At 35.4% G+C, this 26,825-nt stretch overlaps 1 protein-coding gene across 12 annotated transcripts in view; it reads left to right on the top strand.

Annotated features, from left to right (window-relative positions):
- Positions 1-26,825, top strand: part of EXOC6B (exocyst complex component 6B) — a 650,050-nt gene that overhangs the window by 232,994 nt on the left and 390,231 nt on the right. For 11 of the 12 annotated variants that reach the window (NR_135774.2, NR_135773.2, XR_007071495.1 and 8 more), the window contains one exon: positions 17,372-17,548. Coding sequence is in view for 8 of the 12 variants with exons in the window: in NM_001321734.2 (NP_001308663.1) it covers positions 17,372-17,548 (177 nt within the window). In the remaining 4 variants the exon portion in view is untranslated. Of the gene's footprint in view, positions 1-17,371; positions 17,549-19,700; positions 26,033-26,825 lie in introns of those variants that run through there. The other variant, XM_017003642.2, reaches the window with a different exon arrangement.

Below are 26,825 nucleotides of genomic sequence, written 5' to 3'. Positions count from 1 at the left end.
TACATGATTAATTAAATCATTGGCCACTGATGATTGAACTAATTTCCACCTCTTCTTTTCTTCTTTGATGTCAAGGGGTGGGGCTGAAAATTTGAACCCTTTAATCCTGTGGTTGATTCCTCTAGTAACCAGCCCCTATCTGCGAAGAGTCATGTTATTAGCACAAACTCAGGTATGGTTGAAAGGGGCTTATGAATAAAAAGGACACTCCTCTTACACTCAGAAATTCCAAGGGTGTTCAGGTGCTCTGTGCCAGAAACCAGGGACAAAACCAAATATTATAACTAAAGATGCTCGCATCACCTCTGTCACTTAGGAAGTTACAAGGGTTTTAGAAGCTCTGTGCTGGGCAGTGGGGATGAAGACCAAATATATATTTCTTATTATATCACAGCACCACAGCACTGTCGTGTCAAAATTGTTTGTAGAAACCACTGAAAGTCTGGGATGATGGTATCTTTTTTTGGAGAGGATTCACGTTTGCTTTGATCAGACACCAGTGGACAGTATTATTCTAGGATCCTGGGGGACACTAATACTTTGTAATTACCTTAATCCAGTTTCATGCTTAGTATGGGTTCCTGCAAGGGACAGTCAGTCTAATCCTGGTGTACCCTTGTCATAGAGTTCAAGTTTTCAGGGCTCCAACCCAAAGTGAGGGATATATCAAGGCCATTCCTACCTGTTGGAACTTGACTTTTGTGTCTATTTTCTAATCCTTTGGCATTGTCAAAAGTGCCACTTAGTCACTCTGTCACCCCTCCAATATTGGCAAATGCCCTCAAAGGAAGAATGGCTACAAATATTGGTCTCTCTTCCCCACTTTCCTTTCCTGGATGCTGGCCCAAAAGGTTTTTGCCATCTTTTTAGCTCTCTGATGCCTTTAAACAGTCGGCTTTTATACTTTGTTGTTCTTTTTCTTATCTAAATTATCTAGTTCACCATTGCCAGAAGTGGATATTCTTTACAATTATTTATATTCACATTTGTATTATAAAATTTTGATAATATTGTATATATAAATATCTTTTTTAAAACAACATAATATTAAGAACATTTCTCCATGTAACTATTCTTTCAATACATGGTTTTTAAAAATTAATTGAGCAATATTTCTTCATATTTATGTTGTATAAATTTCTTATTCTTTTTCGTGATATGATTCCCTATTAGCAGACATTTATATTTCCTCCTTTAGTTTGCCCTTTTTATTTGCTACATAATGATATTTCTAGATTCAAAATTATTTACAGACTCTCTGATTTACACATTAATGACTGTAAACTTGATTATTTTTACTGGACTAAATACCTGCTGTGATAACAAGGTTAAATTTCATTAGGAGGATGTATAGGAACCTTTAATATCTTGAGAAACACCTGGCTTTTAAGTTAAAACTGGAAACAGAAGTTTGTGTGAGTGTATAGTTTTATACCTAGCAATAAGAGAACACATGTCCATCTGATTTTAGGAAGATTTTAAAAGTTTCAAATGGGTCTCTAGCCTTGAGCCGTTTTGCTGTCATTTTTTGTTAACTTTGTACTCTTTTTCTTCTTATAGAAAGGCTGCTTTTGGTAATATTGTTTCTTAGGAATATGATGCCATTCAAAGGGTTATTATAAATGGTTTCTTAATATTGTGTGTCTCAGTCTCTTAAAAGGACTCATAAAATATCAGACAAAATGAGCAGTAACTATTCTGAACCTGAGGTAACAGTAGCTGTCTTTCAGCTTTGTAATAATCAGCTCCAGTGACAATCACAGAACAATTTAGTTTGCATTTATTTTTGAAACAAACATCACTAGCTTCATTGGTGGATAAAGATAAGACATTTAAAAATCACATATGTAGACAGATGGTCCAAATTAGAAGTTTTAATAACTTCATTTTGATTAACTCTGATAGCCTACTCCTCAATTTTTGTGACACATTTGTACTAGTCTTTTAATTTATTTTCATAAACTAGATCTTAATTTACAATGTTTGGTCTTTCATAGATTGGGTACATTGCAATTTTTGCTATTCTTTTTTCTATGGCACTTTTTACAGAACAGGTAATAGAGATGTTCTCTGTATTCTCTGACACACTTCTTAGCTCTCTACTATGGTTCATCAAAACTCAATTTTTGTAAGAAATTGGGATCAACTTTTTAATTCATTGTTATAAGCTAGATTATGGTTCTTTTGTTTGGTCTTTCATAGGTTGACTAAATGGCAATTATGCTATCCATTTTCCTATGACACTTCTTAAAGGAATAGGTAGTAGAGATATGATCTATCTCCCTGTAATGATACTGATCATACCTGTCTAGTGTGGTCCATAAAAATATACCTTCTATGTTAGCAGAAGTTATTGATAAAGAAACATTAGATTATGGAAGGAAGAAAGAAACTCATTTAAAAACTATCTGTTCTGTGCTAGTTACAGTGCTAGGCAGTTGTACGTAAAGTGAAGTGAATGATTTTAATTTTAAGCTTTTGAATCTTTAACAAAAACCCTCAATGTGGACAAAGCTAGGCTTTAGATCCTTAGTTTTTTGCCATTTTTTGTTGTTATATGTAGAATTTCTGGGGAATATGAATCAAGCATAGCATAGTAACATATTGTTTTCTTGTTAATATTTCTATTATGTATTGATTGGGTCTCTTGATAGCTTTTCTTAAAATACTCTTGGAGTGTGAACATAGATTTTCATTTTTATAACTTTTCTACTTATGTTTATAAACTACAATGTTATTCATATTATTTTTCTAGATTTGCTTTGTTACCAGTAGCTTATACTACTGGTATAATATGAATGGATCATAATCAAAATTTCTTTGTATGGAGTTTTTGTCTATGATAAGTTGTCTTATATGCGTTTGAATCACCCATCCTTCATCTCATTAGCAACTTATATAGCCAGTGACTTCTATCCACAACATTACCAAAATCCTAAGATTATGCCCAATTGTCAAGGTAATTTACAGGATAGGAGACGTTATGTCCTGGCTTTTCTAGTAAACCACACTAAAGGTACATGTTTCCTCTGCTAAAAATTGGCTTCCTTCATCATTCTCCCCTCTTTGGAGGGCAGCTTGGAGTACTGCCCTTCACTTTGATGTGGTCTTTGAATTTCTTCTTTTCATTGAACTTCTTACAGAAGCCTTTATTTGAAACAGAATGTTTAAATCCAAATGTGGCTTTCTAACACATCATTTTTTTTTTCCATTCAATGCCATGTCAACTAAGTTATATCAGATCTGTTATATCATTTTTTTTTGGTGCAAACATATGAGGAGAAAAAAAGAGAGTAAGTAGACATGGGGAGATAATTTTAGTGACCCACTGTGCACACTCACAACAACCTTTTAGATTCCCCTTAGTTTTGCTAGGTGAAAACTAATTTTCATGTAGACACTACCTCACAGCAGATCACTTGGAGCCAAATTACCAGATAGACCTGCATATCCCGTTCATTGCCAAAATTTAAAACATTACTCTTTTAACAAAAAATACTTTTTTTTTTCCTGGAATGTGTTCTTAATTTAAGTATTCTGAATACTCAGTACATACTACTGACTGTTTTGCATTTTGATAATGTTTCAGAAATTCAGAGCACTTCGTAATACTTTGTTGAAGATGGTAGAAGGAAATGAAATAAATTAATTTTTCCCTTTGAATTAGTTATTTCAACTCAAATATGCGTATTAATTATTAAAGAGTTACTAAGTTTGTGTCAACTGTCTTATCAGAAAGTGTTGTGGTTTTAAAAAATTTATCTCTTTTTTCATTTTTGAAGTAAGATAAATGTTATATTCTACTTTTTTTGCACTGAATTTATATTGTTTCAAGTGTCAAAATAATGAATATATAGAATTTAGGGCTAAATCTATTTTAAGAGGCTCAAATTTTTTTATTTTTTAAGTGAGTAAAATGACACAAGATTACACAAATAGTCGCATTTAGAACAAATTAGGTATCGTGACTCTTTTCTGGTGTTTTTTTCTTCTTGGCGTCACTGCCTTTTGTTTCTTCATAGTAATTCTTTTAATTTTTTACTTTCCTATGAAGAAATCTATCAAGTAAGTGCAATTAACCCATGTTGGTGTGAGTGCGTATATGTCTATGTAAAGGAAAAAGGTAATATTTAAAAAGAGCTGGGAATTACTCAAATTCACTAAAGAATTCTGTAAAAATTTCATTATTGCTTCACACAAATTGTAATGTCCTCTATGTGTCCATCATTAAAATGAGTTCTAATAGTACAAATACCTCCTCATCCACCAATGAAATAAATATTTAATTATAATCTGGAGTCAAACCTTTCAATTTTCAAAGGGCTAAGGATATCAATTATAATTAAAAAAATTAAAATTATTAATTGATTTTTTTTCCAGTGTGGTCAAGCTGTAATTGTACAGTTCAGTAGTGTTAAGTATATTCACAATGTTGTACAGCCAATCTCTAGAACTTTTTAATATTGCAAAATTGAAACTGTATACTCACTGAACATTAACGCCCCATATTCCCTTGCTCCCAGCCCTAGCAACCACCATTCTACTTTCTATTTCTATTAGTCTGACTACTTGAGATACCCCATATGAGTGGTTTCATACAGTTTTGTTTTTAATTTTTATGACTAGCTTACTTAGCATAATGTCCTTAAGGTTTATACATGCTGTAAAATGTGACAGAATTTTCTTATTTCAGACCACATAATATTTCATTGTATGTATATGCCACATTTTCTTTATCCATTCATCCTTTGATGAATGTTTGGTTTGCTTTCACCTCTTGGCTGTTGTTAATAATGCTGCAACGGACATGTGCTTGCAGGTATTTCTTTGATTTCGTGCTTTAAATTCTTTGGATATTTAACCAGACATGGGATTTCTGGATAATGTTTTAATTTCATTTTAAATATTTTTGAGGAACCTACATACTGTTTTCTGTAGTGGAAAATATTATACATTTCCACCAACAATGCACAAGGTTTCCAGTTTATCCCCATCCTTGCTAAAACTTGTCATTTTATTTGTTTTTAATGGTGACCCTCCTAATGGGTGTGAGGATATCTCCTTGTGGTTTTAACTTGTATTCTCTAATGATTGGTGATGTTGACATCTGTTCATATTTTTGTTGGACATTTGTATGTATTCTTTCAAGAAATGTCTATTCAACTATTTTGCCCATTAAAAAGATTGGGTTAGTTGTTTTTTTTTTGTTGTTGTTGTTGCATTTAAGGAATTCTTCATATACTATGGGTATTAATCCCTTATCAGATACATGATTAGTGAATATTTTCTCCCACTTTCTAGGCTGCCTTTTTACTCTGTTGATGATTCTCTTTGACGCCCAATGATTATAATTTTATTTATTTGTTTATTTTTATCAACAAAACCAACACAATTATTTTACATATGTATTTTTTGTTAAAGATAAGGTGGCCCTAACATATTATTATCATCATCACTTTAAAAAATAATTTCTAATTTTATTTTAGTTTCATGTGGCCACGTGCAGGTTTGTTACACGTGTGATTCTAAGGTTTGGGATGTGAATGATCCTGTCACTCAGATAGTGAGCATAGTATCCAACAGTTAATTTTTCAACCCTTTTCTTTCCTTTCTCTCCCCCTTTATTAGTCAGTCCCCAGTGTCTATTGTTGCCATCTTTATGTCCATGATTACCCAATGCTTAGTTCTGACTTATAAGTGAGAACATGCAGTATATGATTTTCCGTTCCTGCATTAGTTTGCTTAGGATAGTGGTCTCTAGCTGCATCCATGCTGCTGCAAAGGACATGATTTCATTACTTTTTATGGCTACCTAGTATTCCATGATGTATATGTACCACATTTTTTTTTTATCCAGTCCACCATTGATGGGCACCTAGGTTGATTCCACATCTTTGCTATTGTGAATAGTGCTGCAATGAACATGTGAGTTCATATGTATTTTTGGTAGAATGATTTGTTTTCTTTTGGATATATACCCAATAATGGGATTGCTAGGTCAAATGGTAGTTCTGTTTTAAGTTATTTGAGAAATCTCCAAACTGCTTTCCACAGTGGCTGAATTAATTTACATTCCCACCAACAATGTATAAGCATTCCCTTTTCTCTGCAGCCTCACCAGCATCTGTTGTTTTTTGACTTTTTAATAGTAGCCATTCTGACTGGTGTGAGATGGTACCTCATTGTGGTTTTGATTTGCATTTCCTTGATGATTAGTAATGGTGAGCATTTTTTCGTATTTTTGTTTGTTGATGAATGTCTTCTTTTTTTTTTATTTTTTTATTTTTTTGAGACGGAGTCTTGCTCTGCCGCCAGGCTAGCGTGCAGTGGCGCGATCTCAGCTCACTGCAACCTCTGCCTCCCAGGTTCAAGCCATTCTCCTGCCTCAGCCTTCCAAGTAGCTGGGATTACAGGCATGTGCCACCACGCCCAGCAAATTTTTGTATTTTTTTATAGAGACGGGGTTTCACCATGTTGACCAGGATGGTCTCGACCTCTTGACCTTGTGATCTGCCCACCTCGGCCTCCCAAAGTGCTGGAATTACAGGCTTGAGCCACCGCGCCTGGCCAAGTTTGCGGTGTGTCTTTTTTTGAGAAGTGCCTGTTCATGTATTTTGCCGACTTTTTAATGGGGTTATTTGTTTTTGCTTGTTGAATTGTTCAAGTTCCTTATAGATTCTGGATATCAGATGCATAGTTTGCAAATATTTTCTCCCATTCTGTATGTAGGTTGTCTGTTTTCTCTGTTGATAGTTTCTTCTGTTGTGTAGCTCTTTAGTTTAATTAGGTCCTATTTATCAATTTTTGTTTTTGTTGCAATTGCTTTTGTAGACTTAGACATAAATTATTTCCCAAGGCTGATGTCTGGAATGACATTTCCTAGGTTTTCTTCTAGCATTTTAATAGTTTGAGGTTTTCCATTGAAATCTTTAATCCATCATAGTTAATTTTTGTATATGTGAAAGACAGGGGTCCAGCTTCATTCTTTGGTATATACCTACACAGTTATCCCAGCACCATTTATTGAATTAGGAACTCCTTTTCCCATTGCTTATTTTTGTCGACTGTTGAAGATCAGATGGTTGTAGGTGTGTGGCTTTATTTCTGGGTTCTCTATTGTGTTGTTTGGTCTGTATGTCAGTTGAATTGGTACCAGTGGTTGTTCTTTGCACATCTTGTAGAATTTGGGTATGAATACATCTAGTCCAGGGCTTTTTTTAGGTTGGTAGGTTTTTTTCATTACTTATACAATTTTGGAACTCGATATTGGTCTAGCAGGGTTTCACTATCTTCCTGATTTAATCTTTAGAGGTTGTGTTACCCAGGAATTTATTCATTTCCTCTAGATTTTCCACTTTGTGTGCATAGTGGTGTTCATACTAGGCCCTGAGGATCTTTTATATTTCTGTGGTATCTCTTGTAATATCACCTTTGTCATTTCTTTTTTTTTTTTTGCACTCAGTTGCCCAGGCTGGAGTGCAATGGCGTGATCTCGGATCACTGCACCCTCTGCCTCCTGGGTTCAAGTGATTCTCCTGCCTCAGCCTCCCTAGTAGCTAGAACTACAGGTGTGTGCCACCATGCCTGGCAGATTTTGTATTTTTAGTAGAGATGGGGTTTCACCGTGTTGGCCAGGCTGGTCTCAAACTCCTGACCTCAGGTGATCCACCTGCCTTGGCCTCCCAAAATGCTGGGATTACAGGCATGAGCCACTGCACCTGGCCATCTTTGTCATTTCTGATAGTGCTATTTTGGATTTTCTCTCTTTTTTATTTGTTAATCTAGCTCATAATCTATTAATCTAGTTTTTTCTTTAGAACAACCCATTTTTAATTTCATTGATCTTTTGTATGCATTTTTGCATCTCAGTATTGTTCAATTCTTCTCTGATGGTTTTTTCTTCTAGTAGTTTTGGGGTTGGTTTGTTCTTGTTTTTCTCATTTCTCTAGGTATGATGTTAGATCATTAATTTGAGATCTTTCTAACTTTTTTAGGTAGATGTTTAGGGCTATAAACTTTCCTCTTAACACTGCTTTTGTTGCATCCCAGATATCTTGGTATGTTGTGTCTCTGTTTTCATTTATTTCAAAGAATATTTTGATTTCTGTCTTGGTTTGTTGTTTACTCAAAAGTAATTCAGGAACAAGTTGTTTAATTTCTATGTAATTGTGTGGTTTGGGGAGATCTTCTTGGTATTGATTTCTGTTTTTATTCCACTGTGCTCTGAGAGTGTGGTTGGTATGATTTCAATTTTTTTTCTTTTAATTTGAGACTTTCCTTATGGCCAACAATGTGATCAATCTTGGAGTATGTTCCTTGTATAAATGAGAAGAATGTATATTCATGGTTGATGGGTGAAGTGTTCTGTAGATGTCTGTTAGGTCCAATTGGTCCACTGTTGAATTTAGGTCCAGAATGTCTGTTAGTTTTCTGCCTCTGTGATCTGTCTGTTACCAGTGGGGTACTGAAGTCCTTCACTATTTTTGTGTGGTTGTCTGAGTCTTTTCTTAGGTCAAGAAGAACTTGTTTTATGAATCTGTGTTCTCCAATGTTAGGTGCATACATATTTACGATAGTTAAGTTTTCTTGTTGAATTGAACTTTTCGTCATTATATAATGCCCTACTTTGTCCTTTTTTATAGTTGTTGGCTTAAAGTGTGATTTATCAGATATAAGAATGGTAGCCTGTGCTTTTTTTTGTTTTGTTTTCTATTTGTGCCTATGAGTAGGCCCAAATCCCTTGAGCCAATGGGTGTCATTACATGTGAGATGGGTCTCTTAAAGACAGGATGGAAGGGTCTTGTTTTCTTTTTTTTTTTTAACCCTACTTGCATATCAGTGCCTTTTAAGTAGGGAATTTAGACTTCATATTCAAAGTTAATATTGAAATTGTTAGCTGGTTGCTTTGTAGTTTCTATTGTTATTGCTTTATAGGGTCTTGTGGGCAATGTACTTAAGTATACTTTTGTGGTAGCAGGTATTGTTCTTTTGTTTCCATGTTTAGAACTCCCTTAAGGGGCCGGGTGCGGATGGTTCATGCCTGCAAGCCCAGCACTTTGGGAGGCCAAGGGAGGCAGATCACTTGAGGTCAGGAGTTTGAGTCCAGCCTGGCCAACATGGTGAAACCCCATCTCTATTAAAAACACAAAAAATTAGCTGGGTATGGTAGCGTGCGCCTGTAGTCCCAGCTACTCAGGAGGCTGAGGCATGAGAATAGCTTGAACCCAGGAGGTGGTGGTTGCAGTGAGCTGAGATCATGCCACTGCACTCCAGCCTGGGTGACAGAGTAAGACTCCATCAAAAAAAACAAAAACAAAAACAAAAAAAACCAGAGAACTTTAAGGGTCTTTTTTAAGGTAGGCCTAGTGGTAACAACTTCCCTTAGTGCTTGCTTGTTTGGACAAGATTTTATTTCTCCTTTGCTTATGAAGTTTAATTGGCTGGATATCAAATTCTTGGTTCGAGTTTCTCTTCTGTAACAATACTGAAAATATTTTCCTAATCTCTCCTGTCTTGTGAAATTTCTACTGAGAAGTTCACTGTTAGCCCCATGGGTATCCTTTTGTATGTGATTTGACCTTTTTCTCTAGCTACTATCAAGATTTTTCTTTCAGAGTTGACCTTGGATAGTGTGTTGACTATATGCCTTGATGATGTTCATGTTGTGTAGTATCTTGCAGGTGTTCTTTGGATTTTTAATATCTGTATGTTTACCTCTCCAGTGAGATTAGGGAGGTTACCTATAATTATTCCCTGAAATATGTTTCCCAGGTTGTTGACTTTTTCTTCTTCACTCTTAGGAATGCCAGTAATTCATAGGTTTGGTTGTTTTACATAATCTCATAGTTCTTGAAGACTTTGCTCATTTTTAAAAATTATTTTTTCTTTATTTTTGTCTGGCTGGGTTAGGTTAAAGACTGGTCTTTAAGGTCTGAAATTCTTTCTTCCACTTTGTCCAGCCTGTTGCTAAAACCTTCTGTTGTATTTTGAAATTCCCTAAGTGAGTTTGTCAATTCCAGAAGCTCTAATTAATTTCTTTTAATGTATTTATCTTTCTCTTCATTTCCTTGATTAATTTAGAAGTTTCTTTGTGTTGATTTTCAACCTTTTCTTAGATGTCATTGAGCTTCTTTGCAATCCATTTTGAATTCTTTATTTGTTAAAGAAGAGATCAGCCTGGCCAATTGGGGGACCTGTAGGTGGGCCTGCTGACCCCTCCCATCTTACCCATCACTCCCCAACCCTAAATTTTAAATTTCCGTTTTGGTTAGGAACCATTGCTGGAGAGCCTGTGTGATCCTGTGGTGGTGTCACTACATTCAGATTTTTCATGGTGCCAGAATATTTGTACTGCTTCCTTCTCAGCTGGAGACATTGAGACTTCTAATTTCTGTAATTCTTTGCTTGAACCCGGGAGGTGGAGGTTGCAATGAGCCAAGATTGTGCCATTTCACTCCAGCCTGGGCAACAAGAGCGAAACTCCATCTCAAAAAAAAAAAATTCTGTACTTCTTTTCTATTTTGGAGACAAGGACTCACTTTATCACCCAGGCTAGAGTGTAGTGGTATGATCTCATCTTACTGCAACCTCCGCCTCCTGAAATTAAGTGATCCTCCCACCCCAGCCTCCAGAATAGCTGGGATCACAGCCACAGGTGCCCAGCCTTTTTTTATTTTTTTGTTTTTTTATGGTTAGAGATGGAGTTTCTCCATGTTGCCCAGGCTGGTCTGGAACTCCTGAGCTCAAGCAGTCAGCCCATCTTGGCCTCCCAAAGTGCTGGGATTACAGCCAGGCATAAGCCACTGCTCCTGGCCTGTAATCATTTTTGTGTGGATAGAATTTTTAAATTTTTATTTTTTGCCCATATATATATATTTCCCCTTCTCTTTCACCTTCCCTAAGGCCTATAACTACCGAGAATGTTGGGCAGGGTCTTTTGGCTTTTCTTCTATGGCCTATGAACTTCTGTCCGCAGATTTTATATTGAGTTTGTGATTGAACTTGGAAGCCAGTAGGTGGTGCATATGGGTCAGTGCTGATTGTGCCCAATGTGGTTGGGTATATATCTGACCCTTGTTTATTGGGAGAAGCTCTCTGTTGCCTCAGGCAATGGTCTGATCTGTGGAGTGCACCCTGGTCTCAGCTCCCAGCTTTGCCCTGGGGGTTAGGGGAGTGATGGGTAAGATGGGAGGGGTCAGACCCAGCAGGCCCACCTACAGGTCTGCCAGTGGAAGGCACAAGCACTAGTGCTGAAGGAGAATCCAGTGGGGGGCCACCAAGTGCCCAGAGGTATGCCTAGGTGTGGAGCAGGGAAATCTTGGTCCCAAGTTCTCTGCCTTGGCCAGCAGGGGCAGGGTGCGGGAGGTGGAGGCAACCCAAACTCCTTGTCCAGGAGATGAGTGCTTGAGGAACTTGGAGATCTGCTTGGGCCTCGGGTAACTATGAGAACTTTAAAGATGGTATAGTGACCACCTTCCTCGATTTAAATAAAAAAGGTCCTAAGTATAATAACCTTATTGATGGAAATCCTTTGGGTCATGATGAAGGTGTAAGAAAACTATTTGTCTATTTATTTGTTTTAAAATATCACATGAAACACACATGCATGTGTTCACATAAACACATTCCTACGGACAATAACATACAAATAACTTTTTTGAGATTATCTGAAGATGGTCTTTTTCCTTCATTTTAAATCACTTTTTTGTTTTGTTTTCATTTTGTTTGTTCGAATCTGATACTGGAGTGGGTTGCCAAAGAAAGATGTAGTCCAGAGCCAGTCCTGATAAGTGTGAAAAAACCCTGGTTTGAAACTACAGCTTTTTTACAGTTAATTTTGTTTGGTGAGACTTGAAGTGGCATCTTTGGATTCTTCCTATCTTGATTTTGACATTTATTTTCATGGTTATCCTTTGGGCTTCAGACACTAAACAAGGGATCACAATTCCACTTTACTGTATTGTTGATGGGATGTTATTGTAGCTTTGGTTTCTCTTAGCCTGCGGAGTTGATATGTGACTGGTTTATTCAATTGTATGATCTCATGGAACAGAAGTAAGAGTTAGGAGGAATGAAAAGAGAAGGTGGGAGAGTCAGTACAATGGTATAATGCTAGGGCAGTCTGGTTGCTTAATCCATGGGACTCTCTGAGAGGACTTTTGGAACTGACTATGGAAGGAACAAAGCAAAGAAACATTTCTGTCAGCTCCTTTTCAAGGGTTGTTTTACTTCCAGATTGTGCTGCAGGAGTGCTGAGTACTTCTTGTGGGGTTCCACATTCTGGTATTAGAAAAGTCCTAGGGCAGGCAGCAAGAAGTGTACTGTAAGTATCCAAGTATCCAAGTAACCTGATGTCAGGTTATATTATGTGATGCTTCCAGGCCTGTTCAGAACTGGTTGCTGATGGTAGCTGGAATAAGAGGTGAAACAGAGGATTTAAGTGGAGCACCAATGGTGTCCATTACAGAAACATAACACTTGAAATGTATGTAAATGCAAAATTTGTTATACAGTGATATTAGATGTCATTAATTATTATGTATAGAAATATTGCTGGGTTTCAGATGTTTCCATAGTAGATAGTGAAACAAGATTCCTGGCCGGGTGTGGTGGCTCACACCTGTAATCCCAGGACTTTGGGAGGCCGAGTTGGGTGGATCATTTGAGGTCAGGAGTTCGAGACCAGCCTGGCCAACATGGTGAAACCATGTCTCTACTAAAAATACAAAAACAGAGCCGAGCATGGTGGCACGTGCCTGTAATCCTAGCTACTTGGGAGGCTGAGGCATGAGAATCGCTTGAACCCAGGAGGCAGAGGTTGCAGTGAGCCGATATCGCGCCACTGCACTCTAGCCTGGATGACAGTGAGACCCTGTCTCCAAAAAAAAAAAAAAAAAAAAAAAAATTCTTATTTCTTTTTCAGAGGCAAGATAGGTAAAGCTTGCTTTTTTTTGTTTTTCGTTGTTGTTGTTGTTTGTTTGTTTTAATTCAAGAGACTTCACATGTATTTTCTCATTTAAGCCTTGTGGCAGCTTTGAGGTAGGTTTGATTAATTTTTTTTTATATATATAGATAAGGATATTGCAGAGAGAAGTAACCTGCCCAATTAATAAGTTGCAGAGTAAGACCTATCTTTCTCCAAGAAGCTTTGTTTCTCCCCTGTTATTGAAGCCTATATAATTATATTTGGCCTCTAAGGCCTAAATCTTCTTTTCAACTAGTTTCTTATTCTAAAGGTCATTTGTTTGTATGCCTCTAATCCACTAGAGGTCAGTATTGGATTGAGAAAGTCAGGAGCCTTTAGCTTTTGATTCTTATTATTTTTAACTCTCTGAGTCTTATTGCTAGGTAGCCCTGGAAGCTGCATTCCACAATAAATGTTTATTTAATGGCCTGTGTAAGATGCCTCATAGACACACTTTGACAGTTTTAGAAGTGTTAATAGTGAATTAGTTTGACAGTCCAGGTTAGGTCATGCTTGTGGGCTCTCCTCTAACTTCTAATGGGTAGAAAAGCACTCAAGTCAAGTCTTTTATAAGTTTTTATTGGGCCAAATCTCATTTTCACATGAATTCCCTTTTGTTACCTGTTGCCTTTATATAATAAATATCTAAATTTACTATGTGTATGCCACTTTCTGGACTTGGGGCAGTCTAAGAATGGTAAAGTGTTTTTCTTATCCTGAAAGAGTTGTATACACTGAGGTGCTTTACTGTCATTTTCACCTGGATACCCAACAGGTTTAGGGAACTCATCTTTTTTTATCCTGCATTCAACTTACTATTTTCATGGTTCCTATTGCTTGGAATGGCCCCACTGTTTAGTCATCACGGCCAGAATACTTGTAGTTATTCTTATTTCCTTCTTCTCTTCCATGTACCACATTTAAGTCAGTTAATTCTGTTACTTTTGCTTCTTGTAATCTGTTGCTACCTTTATTCAAGTTCTCATAATGTTATTTGGACTGTTTTAGTGATGTATATTAGATTTTCTATTTCCAGTCTTTGTCTTCTCTCAGTTGACCACTCCTTGACTCCTAGAGGGTTTGTCTGAATTGTAAAGCTGATCCATTATTCCCCTGCTTACATTCTTTCATTGTTTCTCTAACATTGAAACTGCTTTATATAGCATCTTTATCTCCTGTTATTCCTTTATAACCTATACTCTAATTATACAAAGTTACTTGCCGTTTCCTGAGTGGATAATATTTTTTTCATACATAGTCCTTCTCCTGCTGCTTCATTCTTCTGGAATGGTTACTTTTTTCATTTATCTCTGAAAAATCATATTTATTTTTTATCATATTTATCCTTTATTTGTTGATTTGCTTCCTGTAATAGTATGATGTGAGATTCAGGGGTCAGGGTCTCCATCTTATTTCTTTGTATCACCAGTGTGCAACACAATGCTTGGTACCATGTAGACTTTTAACACGTGTTTGACTGAAGGTAGGAGTACAGAGAGGAAGCATCATGAGTTAGAGCAGTGAGAAATTGCTTCCTAAAGGAAGAAGAATTGTACTTGGGTTTTGTAGGAAGGGTTAGATTGAGGCAAGGAAAGGTAATCAGGTAAAGAAATGGCGTAACTAAGGATATAGAAGTGGAAATTTACCCAGCGTATTAGGAGGTAGAGCCTCATCCAATTGGAAGATTCATCTTGGAGGGTATTGGGTAAGTACATTGGAAAATTAGGTTTAGCTTCTATTATGGTGGAATCTAAGTGTTAGATTATGAAGTTTAGACTTGTTTAAATCCCTCTCCCCACCTGCCCAATTTCCCTTATATCTAATTGACATGATGAACAAATGTGGTTTAAGAAGAGCCTGGCTGTATTAGGTAGGGGGATTGTAATTGGAAGGTGATGAGTTCCATTTTAGGTGTGATGGAAATGAGGTGATGGTGGAACACACATTAGTAATAGGAAACAAGACCTGTGCTACTGGGTTTTGGGAGAGTAGAAAGAGTGATTTGAGAGATAAGTGTTTGAGGAATAAACCTTGCTCAATTTCTCTATATTAGGAAATCAGAGAAGAATATATATGAAGTACTCTTGAGAAAGAGGTGGTTAAGTGTGTAAAAATTACTTACAAATAGAATGAACAACTAAGAAAATGAAAACACCTAGATGCTTTCTAAGATCTAGCTGCTGTTTGTATTCCTTGTACCCCTCTCCCTCTATTCCATCCCAGTCAGCAGAAGTCAGTCAGCTGCTTCTTTGACACATTATTATAATGATGGTCTCTGAAGGGATAGAATCAGTGATCTTGATGAAACAGCATAGCATGTTAGAAAAGATCTCTGAAGGGCTTTTTCTTTTTTTGATTTTCATGGACTTCAATGTCACATTTTCATTTTAATATATATTATATGTATTTATATATTTATATCAGTATTTAGTCTTCACCACCTCCTGCCAGTACCATAACATACATTTTGAATAGATGATAACTTTCATTTGTTCATTGCTTTTGAAACACTGACAATATTTTATTGATTGTGAAGGAAATATAATTAACTTGGGATTCAATAAAATACGACTTATGAAATCGTTTGGTTTTGCTGTACTGCAAGAGGATAGAGTTAAGGGAGCAAATGATCACTCTCTAGTTGAAAGCTTGCTTTTTAAAAATATGAAAGTTTTAAAGGAAGTTCTACCTTCCTTTGTGCCCCGGAGTCCTTGATCCCTTTTTGTATATTTTGCATTGGAAGTAAGTGGGGAAGAACATCTTACTTTTGAGAACAATAGAATATTCTATTTAACTTGGTTTCTGAAAGGCTTGGAGGATATTGTGTCTTATGTACAAACCTAAATTAAATGATTTGGGGTACTTCTCTATCTCAGTTTGTTACTGAAGCCATGTATTTATGTAAATCTAACCAAAATATCAATGGCTGATATGCAGAGAAACAAGTATGTCCATTGATTCAAATCTCTGGAATGTAGATTCTTTTCATTTTCTTGGCAGAAACTAGTTCACATAGTTGAAGTTTTTCTCTGCCTTGTTATAATTGTCTCATTTCACCATTCCTGGACTAACTTTTTATACTTTATATTTATCTTCATTTCATTAACCTTATGCAGAAGATTTGGAGACTGATTTTTTCCCTGAACTAATTTCTATTTGCCACTGAGGAGAAATATCTTATATTGATTAAGAAATGTATACTTTCAGAGGTCACATTCTCAAGCTTTGTTATCTTGGGGTAATACCAAATATTACATTAAAAGAAAGCAAAAAGGAAAGTTCTCTTGGGAAATGTTTTTGGAACATGCTGGGTTAAACCAGATTAAACAAGTTTCTTTAAAATAGGACTTCTCCCAGCTTTTATTCTGTTAGTGTGCCTTGCATATCTATAAGAAGGCTTCATGGGACGCAGTATTTCCTGTTGATTTGACCACAACTCATTTTTGGGAAACATTTTGGTCACGCTTTGAGGGACTGTTGATGTAGTGGAAATGTCACTGATTTGAAATTTAGGAGACCATACTTTGAGCTTCTGATTTACCACTCACTTGCCTTGTGACTTCAAGCAAATCCTTTGTTTTCTAGCCTCAGTTTCCTGAGTGGCAATTAAGGTACCTTCTAGCTCTAATAATGTGTGGTTTAATGCTTCTGTTGTTGACTCTGGATAGTCCCACTTTCTACTTCTCTGTATCTATTGAAACCATGCCACCATGTCAGTCTATTTTTTTTTAAGCTGAAGGGATTATACTACCTTTTCTAGGGTTCAGAAGAAAAAACCCTTTAAAACCCTTTATAACCCTGCTTTCCACAGATCACAGTCATGGAATCCTATTGGATTACTTAGTTCAAATCACTTACTGAAGATAATTCATTCTCCTGATTTTATTTCATTGGTCTCTTATATCCACATAACTGTTTTTAACAGTCTCTTAAGCCTAAATGTATTAAAATTAATTCTAAGCCCCCACCCTTTTTCCTCCAAGCATTATGGTCTCAATGTGGTATTTTCTTGTAAGAGATAAATGCTAGGCGTTTGCACTAATCTCCTGGCCTACTAAGGCAAAACTGGATAGATTTCTTTTTGTGATGATTTAATGGATATTTTTGAAAAGCCTTATGATGATATTGACTGATTATCTGTTTTCTGTGTTAACTTGGAAAATGAGTTAAAATACGATGGCTCCAGGGTTAAAAAGGTATACATTAATGTGATGGTTTTATATCTGATACTAAAACTTTATGTACTAAGGCCTTTTGTTGTAGTATTTTCGTTAAGATATCAATTTGTTCAAAATTAGAAGTTTGTTGAAAGCTTAATTAAGTTTTGTTTCTTTTCTTTTTTTCTTTCTTTCTCTCTCCCTAACCCCACCTTTTTGGTGTGTTTGTGTGTGTTCTTCTCTATCCTAGGCCCAGCAGCAAAGAAACCTGGATAACATCGTCTTGCAACAACCCAGAATAGGTAGCAAGAGGAAATCTAAGAAAGATGCATATATAATCTTTGATACAGAGATAGAAAGTACTAGTCCGAAGTCTGAACAGGATTCAGGAATTCTGGATGTTGAAGACGAGGAAGATGATGAAGAGGTAAGTAACATTTGATGTTGGGAAGTGAGACTATTTTTAAGCTTAAATAGTATGGTTGAGATGTGATGAAGAGTTTATCCATATAATGTAGTTTGTGTGATCTTCTGAATATCAAATACCATTTTGAATACAAATAAGGCTCAATTTAAGGAAATTGAAGATATACTAAGATAATTTAGATCCTGATTCTTTTTTGAGAATTCAAATTTTAAATTCACTCCTCTATTTTGAAAAGTTTCAGGGTTTTTAAATTCTGTACTGGCTGGGAACTACATTAAAGGAAGAGTAGAGTTTACCTACCTAGAGACAGGAGGTCTAGGTGACCTCGGCTGAAACTGCAACGGTTAGTCCAGAAAAACAAAAAAATGTTACTTCGAAAGCTGAAGAGTGAACAAATAGATTATTTACCTTGAGAAATGGCTCAGATGGAAAATACACAAAGATTCCAGAAAGTTGAGTTTGCATTTCTGGAGGAAATAAATATATGAGTGATTACAGGGTAACTGGGAATTTTGTGACATATTCATAACCTCATAGATTAGTTCTGTGTCACTGTCAGGGAAGAATAAGATTAAGTGCCTTAACTAGTACATATTTTTCTATCTTTCTTTGTTGTTAGAAGTATGTTTAATGTGTTTTTAAAAATAAAACTATTATGACCTTTGAGACTTCCTGTTAAAATGTTTTTTCTAAATATTTATCATTTGCATTAACTGGATGTCTCTTTGTGAGTGTGGTGTTTAGGAGCATGAGCTTTAGAGTCTGACTGTATTCAAATTCTGGCTCTGCCATTTAAGTTTTAAAAAATTATTAATAATCATATCATTTACTTTTAAAATGGCCACTGACATGTAAGGAATCATTTACTCTTGTACTCAGTAGCCTTTTTTTTGTAAGTGCTTGTTTCCTTTCTCCAGATAAAACTGGATTCACTATTTCTTCCCCATACTTGTCTCCTGTTATACCCTTACTACTCTCGTGCTTTTCTCTCTTCCCCAAAACTTGTCCTAATTTTGTAGTCTTGGATAAATTGTTTAATCGTTAAACTGAGTGTCTTCACCTATTAAGTAGAGGCAGTAGTCTCTACCCCATAGGATTTCACAAATCCCTGCTCCTTAAAGGGTGGTGAGAAAACATTGGTTTCTGTTCTATCTTCATTACTCTTCCTTGCTGACTTCTGTTATGTATCTCTATTGTCATTATGCCTGCCTCTATTATTATTCCTCTTTGACTTCAAAAGTTGAATTGGCAATGTTTAAACTATTTGAGCTGAAAAACAAATAAAGATGTTATTTTTATGTCTACAACCTTAGCATTTAAGTTTGATAGAACAGGAGCTATCATAAGAATGTAAACTACTACTTTTTTTTTTTTTTTTTTGCGATGGAGTCTCTGTCGCCCAGGCTGGAGTGCAGTGGTGCGATCTCGGCTCACTGCAAGCTCCGCCTCCTGGGTTCACGCCATTCTCCTGCCTCAGCCTACCCAGAAACTGGGACTACAGGCGCCCGCCACCATGCCTGGTGAATTTTTTGTATTTTTTAGTAGAGATGGGGTTTCACCATGTTAGCCAGGATGGTCTGGATCACCCGACGTCGTGATCCACCCGACTCGGACTCCTAAATTGCTGGGATTATAGGCGTGAGCCACCGCACCCAGCCGTAAACTACTACATTCTTTTATATACGTTTCATTATTGAGGGGACACACTTCTGCTATTTAAGTGAATAATTTTATTTATCATTTTTAAAGTTTATATTGTACTAGGATATGTTTATTATGTAAATGAAGTACATTAATAGTTAATAATGCTTGAAAGTTTCATCCTATCCCTATTGCACATGGATTGCAAGAACTCTTAATAGCTCTTAATAGAGCTAAGAAAAGTCTTTTGAGTGTTATCTATTGGGCCACTTTAAAGTAAAATGAACCAACTATTGGCCTAATGACTCATGGAGATAGAAAGAGATAGAGGGGACTTCATTCCCCTGAATGTTTTCTAGCATTCTCCCTTCTTGCCTGGAATGACTGGCTTATTAAGATGTGGATCCACCCTGGAGGACAAACTTTCAGATATTAGATTCCATCACAGATGATCAGTCACAGTAGTTGCACAATAACGCATCAGTCTCAAGAAGGACCAACTAACTCCTTTAATCTACATTTTGAGTACCCATGAACAAGATGGAATTCTGTCAGATACTGTGGCTTATGGGCTAGACATAGTCTGTGCCCTTGGATAATACAGTACCTGAAGAGATGGTTAGATGATAAGATGAAAAATAAAATATATACACAGTTCTTATATATCATTGAAACCATGATATATGAAAGGAAACCATTCTTTATCATTGACCTATTGAAGATCCTGGGTAAGTTCCTTTTAATTTTTGTGCCATGCTCCTTCTTTGCCTTGTCCTGTGAGGTCCAGAGAAGATGAGGAAAGTGAGACTAGTAAAATGTGTTGGAGGTTTCTCATAAAAGTAGTACTGTAAGAATGTACTTGGAAGTTAATATTTTTAAATGGTTCCATATCTCAAATCAAGCAATTCATATTAAAGATTTGCTGATTGAGCTCTTAAAACAAAAATTTGGCACTTCACTGTCATCTAATGGCATTCTATCTTAAAAAAAATTCTACCTTATATTTATTTACTTCTCAGTTTGAATCTTCTTCAAGTGCACATTCTTAATCTCAAACCTCATGTAGAGAATTATTTATTTAGATGTTTCCAAACTGGTTTCTTGGCATAGTTCTTGCATGGTGTGAATAAATTCTTCAGATAAGGTCTTTCGTGACCCACTGTGACGTTCTGACCTTCATTCTTGTCATTCTTCAACAGACCTCATTGAGAACTGCATAGTTTTTGGAATATTGTGACTTTTAATCTGTAAGCATGGTAACTGTGGCATAGAATCCCTGTATGGCAGTCATTCTTAATCTGTTTGGGGTTATGTATTACTTTGAAAGATTGATAAAAATATATGGAGTCATTTCCCAGTAAAACGTACATATATTCTGTCACAAAATGTTTTGCATGAAATTTCAGGGGGTTTGTGGAATTCATTTTACCCCTAGGACCCAACTTAAGAACTGTTTTGTCCAACAATGTTTCTTGACATTTAATGTGCATGGGAATCACCTGGGAAGCATATTATAATGCAGATTGTGATTATACAGGTTGAGAATGAGTCTGAGTCTGCATTTTTTAACAAGGTCCCTGGTGAGGATGGAGCTCCTGGTCCCTGGAGCACACTTGGAGTTACAAGACGATATGGAAACATGACAAAGCTTTTTTAGTATATACATAAAACAAACAAATGAATGTTTGGGTCTTCTATTGTTTTTTTTAAATATGATTTAAACTTTTTTCTGGCAATAAATACAGTACTTGAAGAGAAAGTTAAGTTTGCTTTCTAAAATCTGTTGCTTATGTATTACCAGCATTTTAAATAAAATTTTATAATTCTAGTTTAACAAGTTTAGGTACTTTCTTTACTCTGTGAAGAACTTTTTACCCTTTCCTGTGCTTTCAATGCAAATATACTTAATACATTTTTTTCATTGAATAACATTTTAAGGCTATTACTGTGTCTTTAGCTTAATGATGCATAAGAGGAGATCATGGAATAAGGTGGGTAGGAAAAGCTAAACACCTAGAACATGGATCTACACATGGTAAATAGACAGTTAATACATTGTTAACCTGAAATAAAGTTTGTACTAGAAATGGGAAAAGCTTAACAGCCTGGGGAACTGAGGATGAAGTCTCAAAAGTAAATTGTCATTTTGAATGAAAAAACAACTTACATGTTGAACCATCTGAAGGAATCAGTCTTTCTTTTTTTCTCTTCCCCACCCTCAGCTTATTGAAGTTTAAGAGTCAGTCTCTTAATGATTGCTGAAGGGTGTTATAAAGAAACGTATTTCTAGTAAAGTTCTCTATTTTTATTTTATTATTGGCTAAGCTAATAAAAGAGTCACAAGATGAGGTTTTTTTTGTTTTAAAAAAACTAATCATATATTAAGGTTGGACTATATGAAGCTGCTGATATTTAACCATTTCTGATCAACAGCTTAATTCAATTGATTAAAAAAAAAAGAGGGAGTGATGAGGCTTCACTATGTTGCCCAGGCTGGTCTCAAACTCCTGAGCTTTCAAGTGATCCTCCTGCCTTGGCTTCCCAAAATGCTGGGATTACAGGCATGAGCCACCATACCCAGCCAATTCAATTGATTTTTAATGGAAATATGATTTAGGAAATTGGGATTGAAATCACCCTGTGGGCATATGCAGGTGTTAATGTTCTTCTCTAAATATCTAGATAGAACTTAAAAAAAATCAGAAGTAGTTAACATTTTAGATTGAGAATGTATTTATGGATCTAGACTCATCAGGAATATCAATTTTGAGATATTTGAAGATAAAATGCAAGGAAGCCCTCAAGATAACATATTAGTTTTGAGAAGGAGGGTGATAATATCTACTGAGAATAGGCTTGTTGTGAGGATTGAATGAAATAATGTATATAATGCCTTTGTCACAGTCCTTGTACATACAGGACTATCAGTATATAATAGTTACTGTTGTGGCATTATGACCATGTGCTTTTTTGAATAAAGGTGAACTATAAGTTGATCTAATTTTTGACAATGTATATTTGCATGGACTGATGAACATCATCTACTATAAACAAAAAAAATCTGCTGAAATAAAGCAGTATTAAGAAATAGTTTGAAAAAGCAGGGCGTATTTTTTCTACTTTGTTTCTAGGTTACTTCAGAGCTTCTGCATTCTTAGAATACTTCATTGATACCACATTTATGACATGTCACATATTCTAGTGTGTACCTCTCTTAATTTATTTACCAACTGTTAAGGAACAGTGGTAACCATGTCATCCACACCACTTGTCATAGAGTATGGGTCACATAAATATTTGTTGACCAAATGATTCATGTCAGATTTATCTCTCTAGATTTTGGTGTCTCTTTTGAAGTATAGAATCAACAGGAGGGAATTGTTAATTTAAATACAAATGCCATGTAATAGAAAGCCTTCTGGGATGTCTTGATTATTGTTGTGCTGTAGTAATTTTGAAGTAATGAGATGTATTAATTTGCTAGGGCTACCATAACAAAATGCTGGAGAATGGGTGATTTAAACAAAAATCTGTTTTCTCACATTTCTGGAGGCTGGCTGTCCAAGATCAAGGTTCCACCAGGGTTAGTTTCTCCTAAGGCCTCTCTCCTTGGCTTGCAGATAGTTGCCTTCTAGCCGTATCCTCATACAGTTTTTTTCTTTGCTTACATCCTCTTTTTATAATGTGTGTCTTCCTCTTTTTATAAGGATACCAGTCCTATTGAATTAGAACCCCATTCTTATGATTTCATTTAATTTTAATTACCTCTTTAAAGGCCCAGTCTCCAAATACAGTCACATTGGGACTAAGGACTTCAACATAGGAATTTGCGGGGGAGCACAATTATAGTCATAACACAATTTAGTCATAACACAGGGTGTTTGGAAAGTATACAAAAAAGATTTATTTTAGAATGTACAAGCTTTTTTCTTTGTGGTATTGGGACAAATTATGTAATTTCTCTCAGCATCCCTTTTCTTACCTATGAAATAGTGACAATAATTATGTCAAATTGCTTGTAAAAAAATAGTGGTTGTGATATTTGACCCAAATTTCAAAATATTGATTGTAAAACTTTCTATTGACAGTAAGGTAACAGAAAATGAAGATGATTCCTTGATAAGTTAAAGGCTACTTTAGAAGTTTAGAGTTTAAACTTAAACTTAAATAAAGGCTGCCTTTAGAAGTTTAGAGTTTAAACCAGAGGTTGCAGATTGGCAACCGATGGGCCAGAAACAGCTTGCATACTGGTTGTTGGCCTACACAATGCTTAAAAATTTTTAAATTAGTTGCCAACTTCTGCAGGTCAATTAGATTCACATAAAAATCTAGATTTCTAATTTAGTTTTTTCTAAGCATGGTAGTAATAGACTGGCCTTGAGTAGCAGTGTTGCCGTCAGGGATATGGTTTAAATGTGATGACAAAAATATAATACTGCTTATATTGGGTGTCTATCCAAAAAAATGGCAAAATAAAAAACAGACTGACGGGGCCACACTGATGTGAAAAAAAAATAATGTTGTGCTTTGTAAAAATAAGTAATAGTCCTTGATATTTCATATACAAAGTATGTCTATTAAGAGAATATGATTTAAAATTGCCAGCATCCATCACTTAATCCCAATACCCATTGACACCTGTAGGCTTTGAATTTTAACTTCTTAATGAAAGCTGGCCTATTAAGGACATATGCAGTCAAAAGTAGGTGCCCATATATATAATGAAATACCAAAAGGACAATTTAGAAGGTTGAATGGAAACATTATGGCATGCTTTAGACGTTCTGTTTTGGTTTTCTTATTCCCAGTCTTTGATCTTTTAGGTCTATCCATTGGTAAAGATATATTAGGACTCACATCAACTCAAGGTTTTTTTCTTTTTTTTTTTTTTGTGGTGATAGTGTAAGTGCCCTGTTATTTTGAAATCATTTGCCTCAGTTATAAACTTCTACCTCTCTTTTCAGGTCTTGTAGAATTTCTCTTTTATATTCTCATTGATTATTCAAAAAACTTCACCTTGCACTAAGTTGCTAGTAACTGCAACTGTGGAATATAATCCTTTACCCCCTTCTTCTTGCCAAGAATGCCTTATTCTACTTTTATCTGAAGGACCCCTCAATTTTACCTCTTCTGTAATAGCGTCTTTTAAAAATTTTCTTTTACTTTTGAAGAAGTTTACATCTTCAGAAAAGTTACACATATGGTATCCATATACGCTTCACTTAAATAGTCCACTTATTAAAACTTGACGCTTCCTCTCTCTGAAAAATTTGATTTTGAAAGAATAGGTGTGTGCGTGCGTGCGTGTGTGTGTATGTGTATGTTTCTTTTCTCTCCCAAAACTGAGCCATTTGGAAGAAAGTGGCATGCATCATTCATAATATTTGGAACTCCAAATACTGTAATCTGTGTTTCCTGACAATGACATTCTTCTACATAAGTATAATACAGTGATTACATCAGGAAATTTCACATTGATGGTGACACTGCCACTTAATATACAACCTTTATACAACTATCTCTAGTTGTTCCAATAATGTTCTTTCTAGCAGATTTTTTTCCTTCGTTTTTTTCCTTGCAGCCACATCAAGACAAATTTTACACATTGATTTTTATGTCTGTTTAGTCTCCCTTAATATCCATCTGTTCAGGTACATCTCGTTGTATCCTCATGACTAGAGTCAGGTTAATCATTTTTGGCAGGAATATTACAAAGGTAATATTAAGTTCATTTCATTGCATCACATCTGGAGGCATACATTGGTTAAGATGGTGTTCACTAGATTTCTTCACCATAAAGGTACCCGTCCCACTTTGTAATTAGTAATACATTAGACCATGTGACTATCCTGTTCCCTAACAGCTTGTTACCCACTGGTTTTAGAACTCATTGATGCCACTTTCTGGAATCATATGTTACTATAGTTGTTATAAGATGCTGTGATTTTCTATTTTTATCATTTCTTTCACATTTATGAGTCAGCATTCTTCTATAAAAAACTTTCCTTTTCTCCCCTTATTTTTTGTAGTGTTAGTATGGGCACATGGATAATCATTTTATATACAATGAGTTATATTCCATCTTGTCTTTCATTTTCATTTTCCACTTGTTCCAAATTATCCATCCAGTTTTTGAGCTCTGCTCTTTTCTTTAATTTCTCTTCTTTTCCACAAGAAACTCCAGGTTCTGCCCTAGCCCTGGCATCAGCCGTTTCTTCAGAGAGTTCTAATTTCTTTTACTGGAGAATGATATTTAGAAACTAACATGGGCATTAGGTATACCCCTTTTGTGGACAGAGCTAAGAAATACACCTGCTACATTAATGTGTAGACTTAAAAAAAATAAATCACGAGTTAAAGCTAGTACTTCTAATTCCAATCTAATGTAGTAAGTCTTTTCTGTCATTCTGTATTTGTATTTGCAAATATTCTGGTTTCCAGAGTATCAGCATATTTAATCTTTTGGATAATTATATAATACCCAGAAAATAGTTGCAGAATTATGCAAATGTCACTAAAAGCAATAAAGTTATTAAGTTCAAGATTTCTTCACAGTTCTTTTGATCCTACAGTGTATCCCACTAAATCTGTATAGTTCAGAGTACTATGTTCAAACGCTTTTGGCTAATTTTTTTTTCTTCTGTTTGATTGTTACCAAATTGATATATAATTAGGTTCGTTTGTTTCTTTTTGTATTATTTTTTAGGGTTCAACTATCCTTATTTAACTTTTTGACTATTTAAAATATGAACATGATTCAAAGGCAAAACTATATAAGAAGATATATTCAGTGAAATCCCATTCTCATCCTTATCCTTTCCACACTGCTCCTACCCACCTTTTGTAAGTAATGAGTGTTGTTAGTTTTTGTGTGTATCCCCTTCATTTTACCTCAAGCAACGTAATTATTAATAGCATAATACATATATATTTTTGTACTTTGTTTATTTGAAATATATTTTGAAAATTATTCCATATCAGTTCATAGAAATCTTTCTCATTCTATTTTTACTGCTAAATAGTACTCCATTGTTTGGATGTACCATGGTTTATTCAGCTAATCTATACATGGACACTAAATGATTTCCAATGTTTTCTTATTAAAAAGTAGTGTTTTAACTGTACAGCTATTAGAATACCTAAAATAAAAAAAACTGACATTACCATGTACTGTCAAGGATATAGAGCAAATGGAACTCATATATTTCTGTGAAAATGTGAAATGATAGAGTCGCTTTGGAAAACAGTTTAGCAGTTTATTATAATGTTGAACATACAGCCAGGAGTGGTCATATATATGACCTAGCAATCCCACTCCTGGGTATTGAACCAGCATATTCACTCAGAAGCTTGAAGCTTAATATTTATAGCAGCTTTGTGCATATAGTACCAAAACTAGAAACACCCCAAATGTCCTTCAATGCATGAAGGGATAAATGAACTGTGGTATATCCATAATTGAAGTACCACTCTGAAATAAAAAGGAATAAACGGCAGATGCATGAAACAATACAGATGAATCTCAAATGCATTATGTTCAATGGAAGAAGCCAGGTTCAAAAGGCTACATGCTATATGAGTCTATCAATATGACAATCCTAAAAAGTCAAAACTCTAGAGATAGAAAATGATCAGT

Source organism: Homo sapiens, chromosome 2 (genome assembly GCF_000001405.40).
Source record: "Homo sapiens chromosome 2, GRCh38.p14 Primary Assembly".
Taxonomy (NCBI): Eukaryota; Metazoa; Chordata; class Mammalia; order Primates; family Hominidae; genus Homo; species Homo sapiens.
Note: the sequence above shows the minus strand (reverse complement) of the source record. Positions and strands in the feature narration are given on the sequence as shown.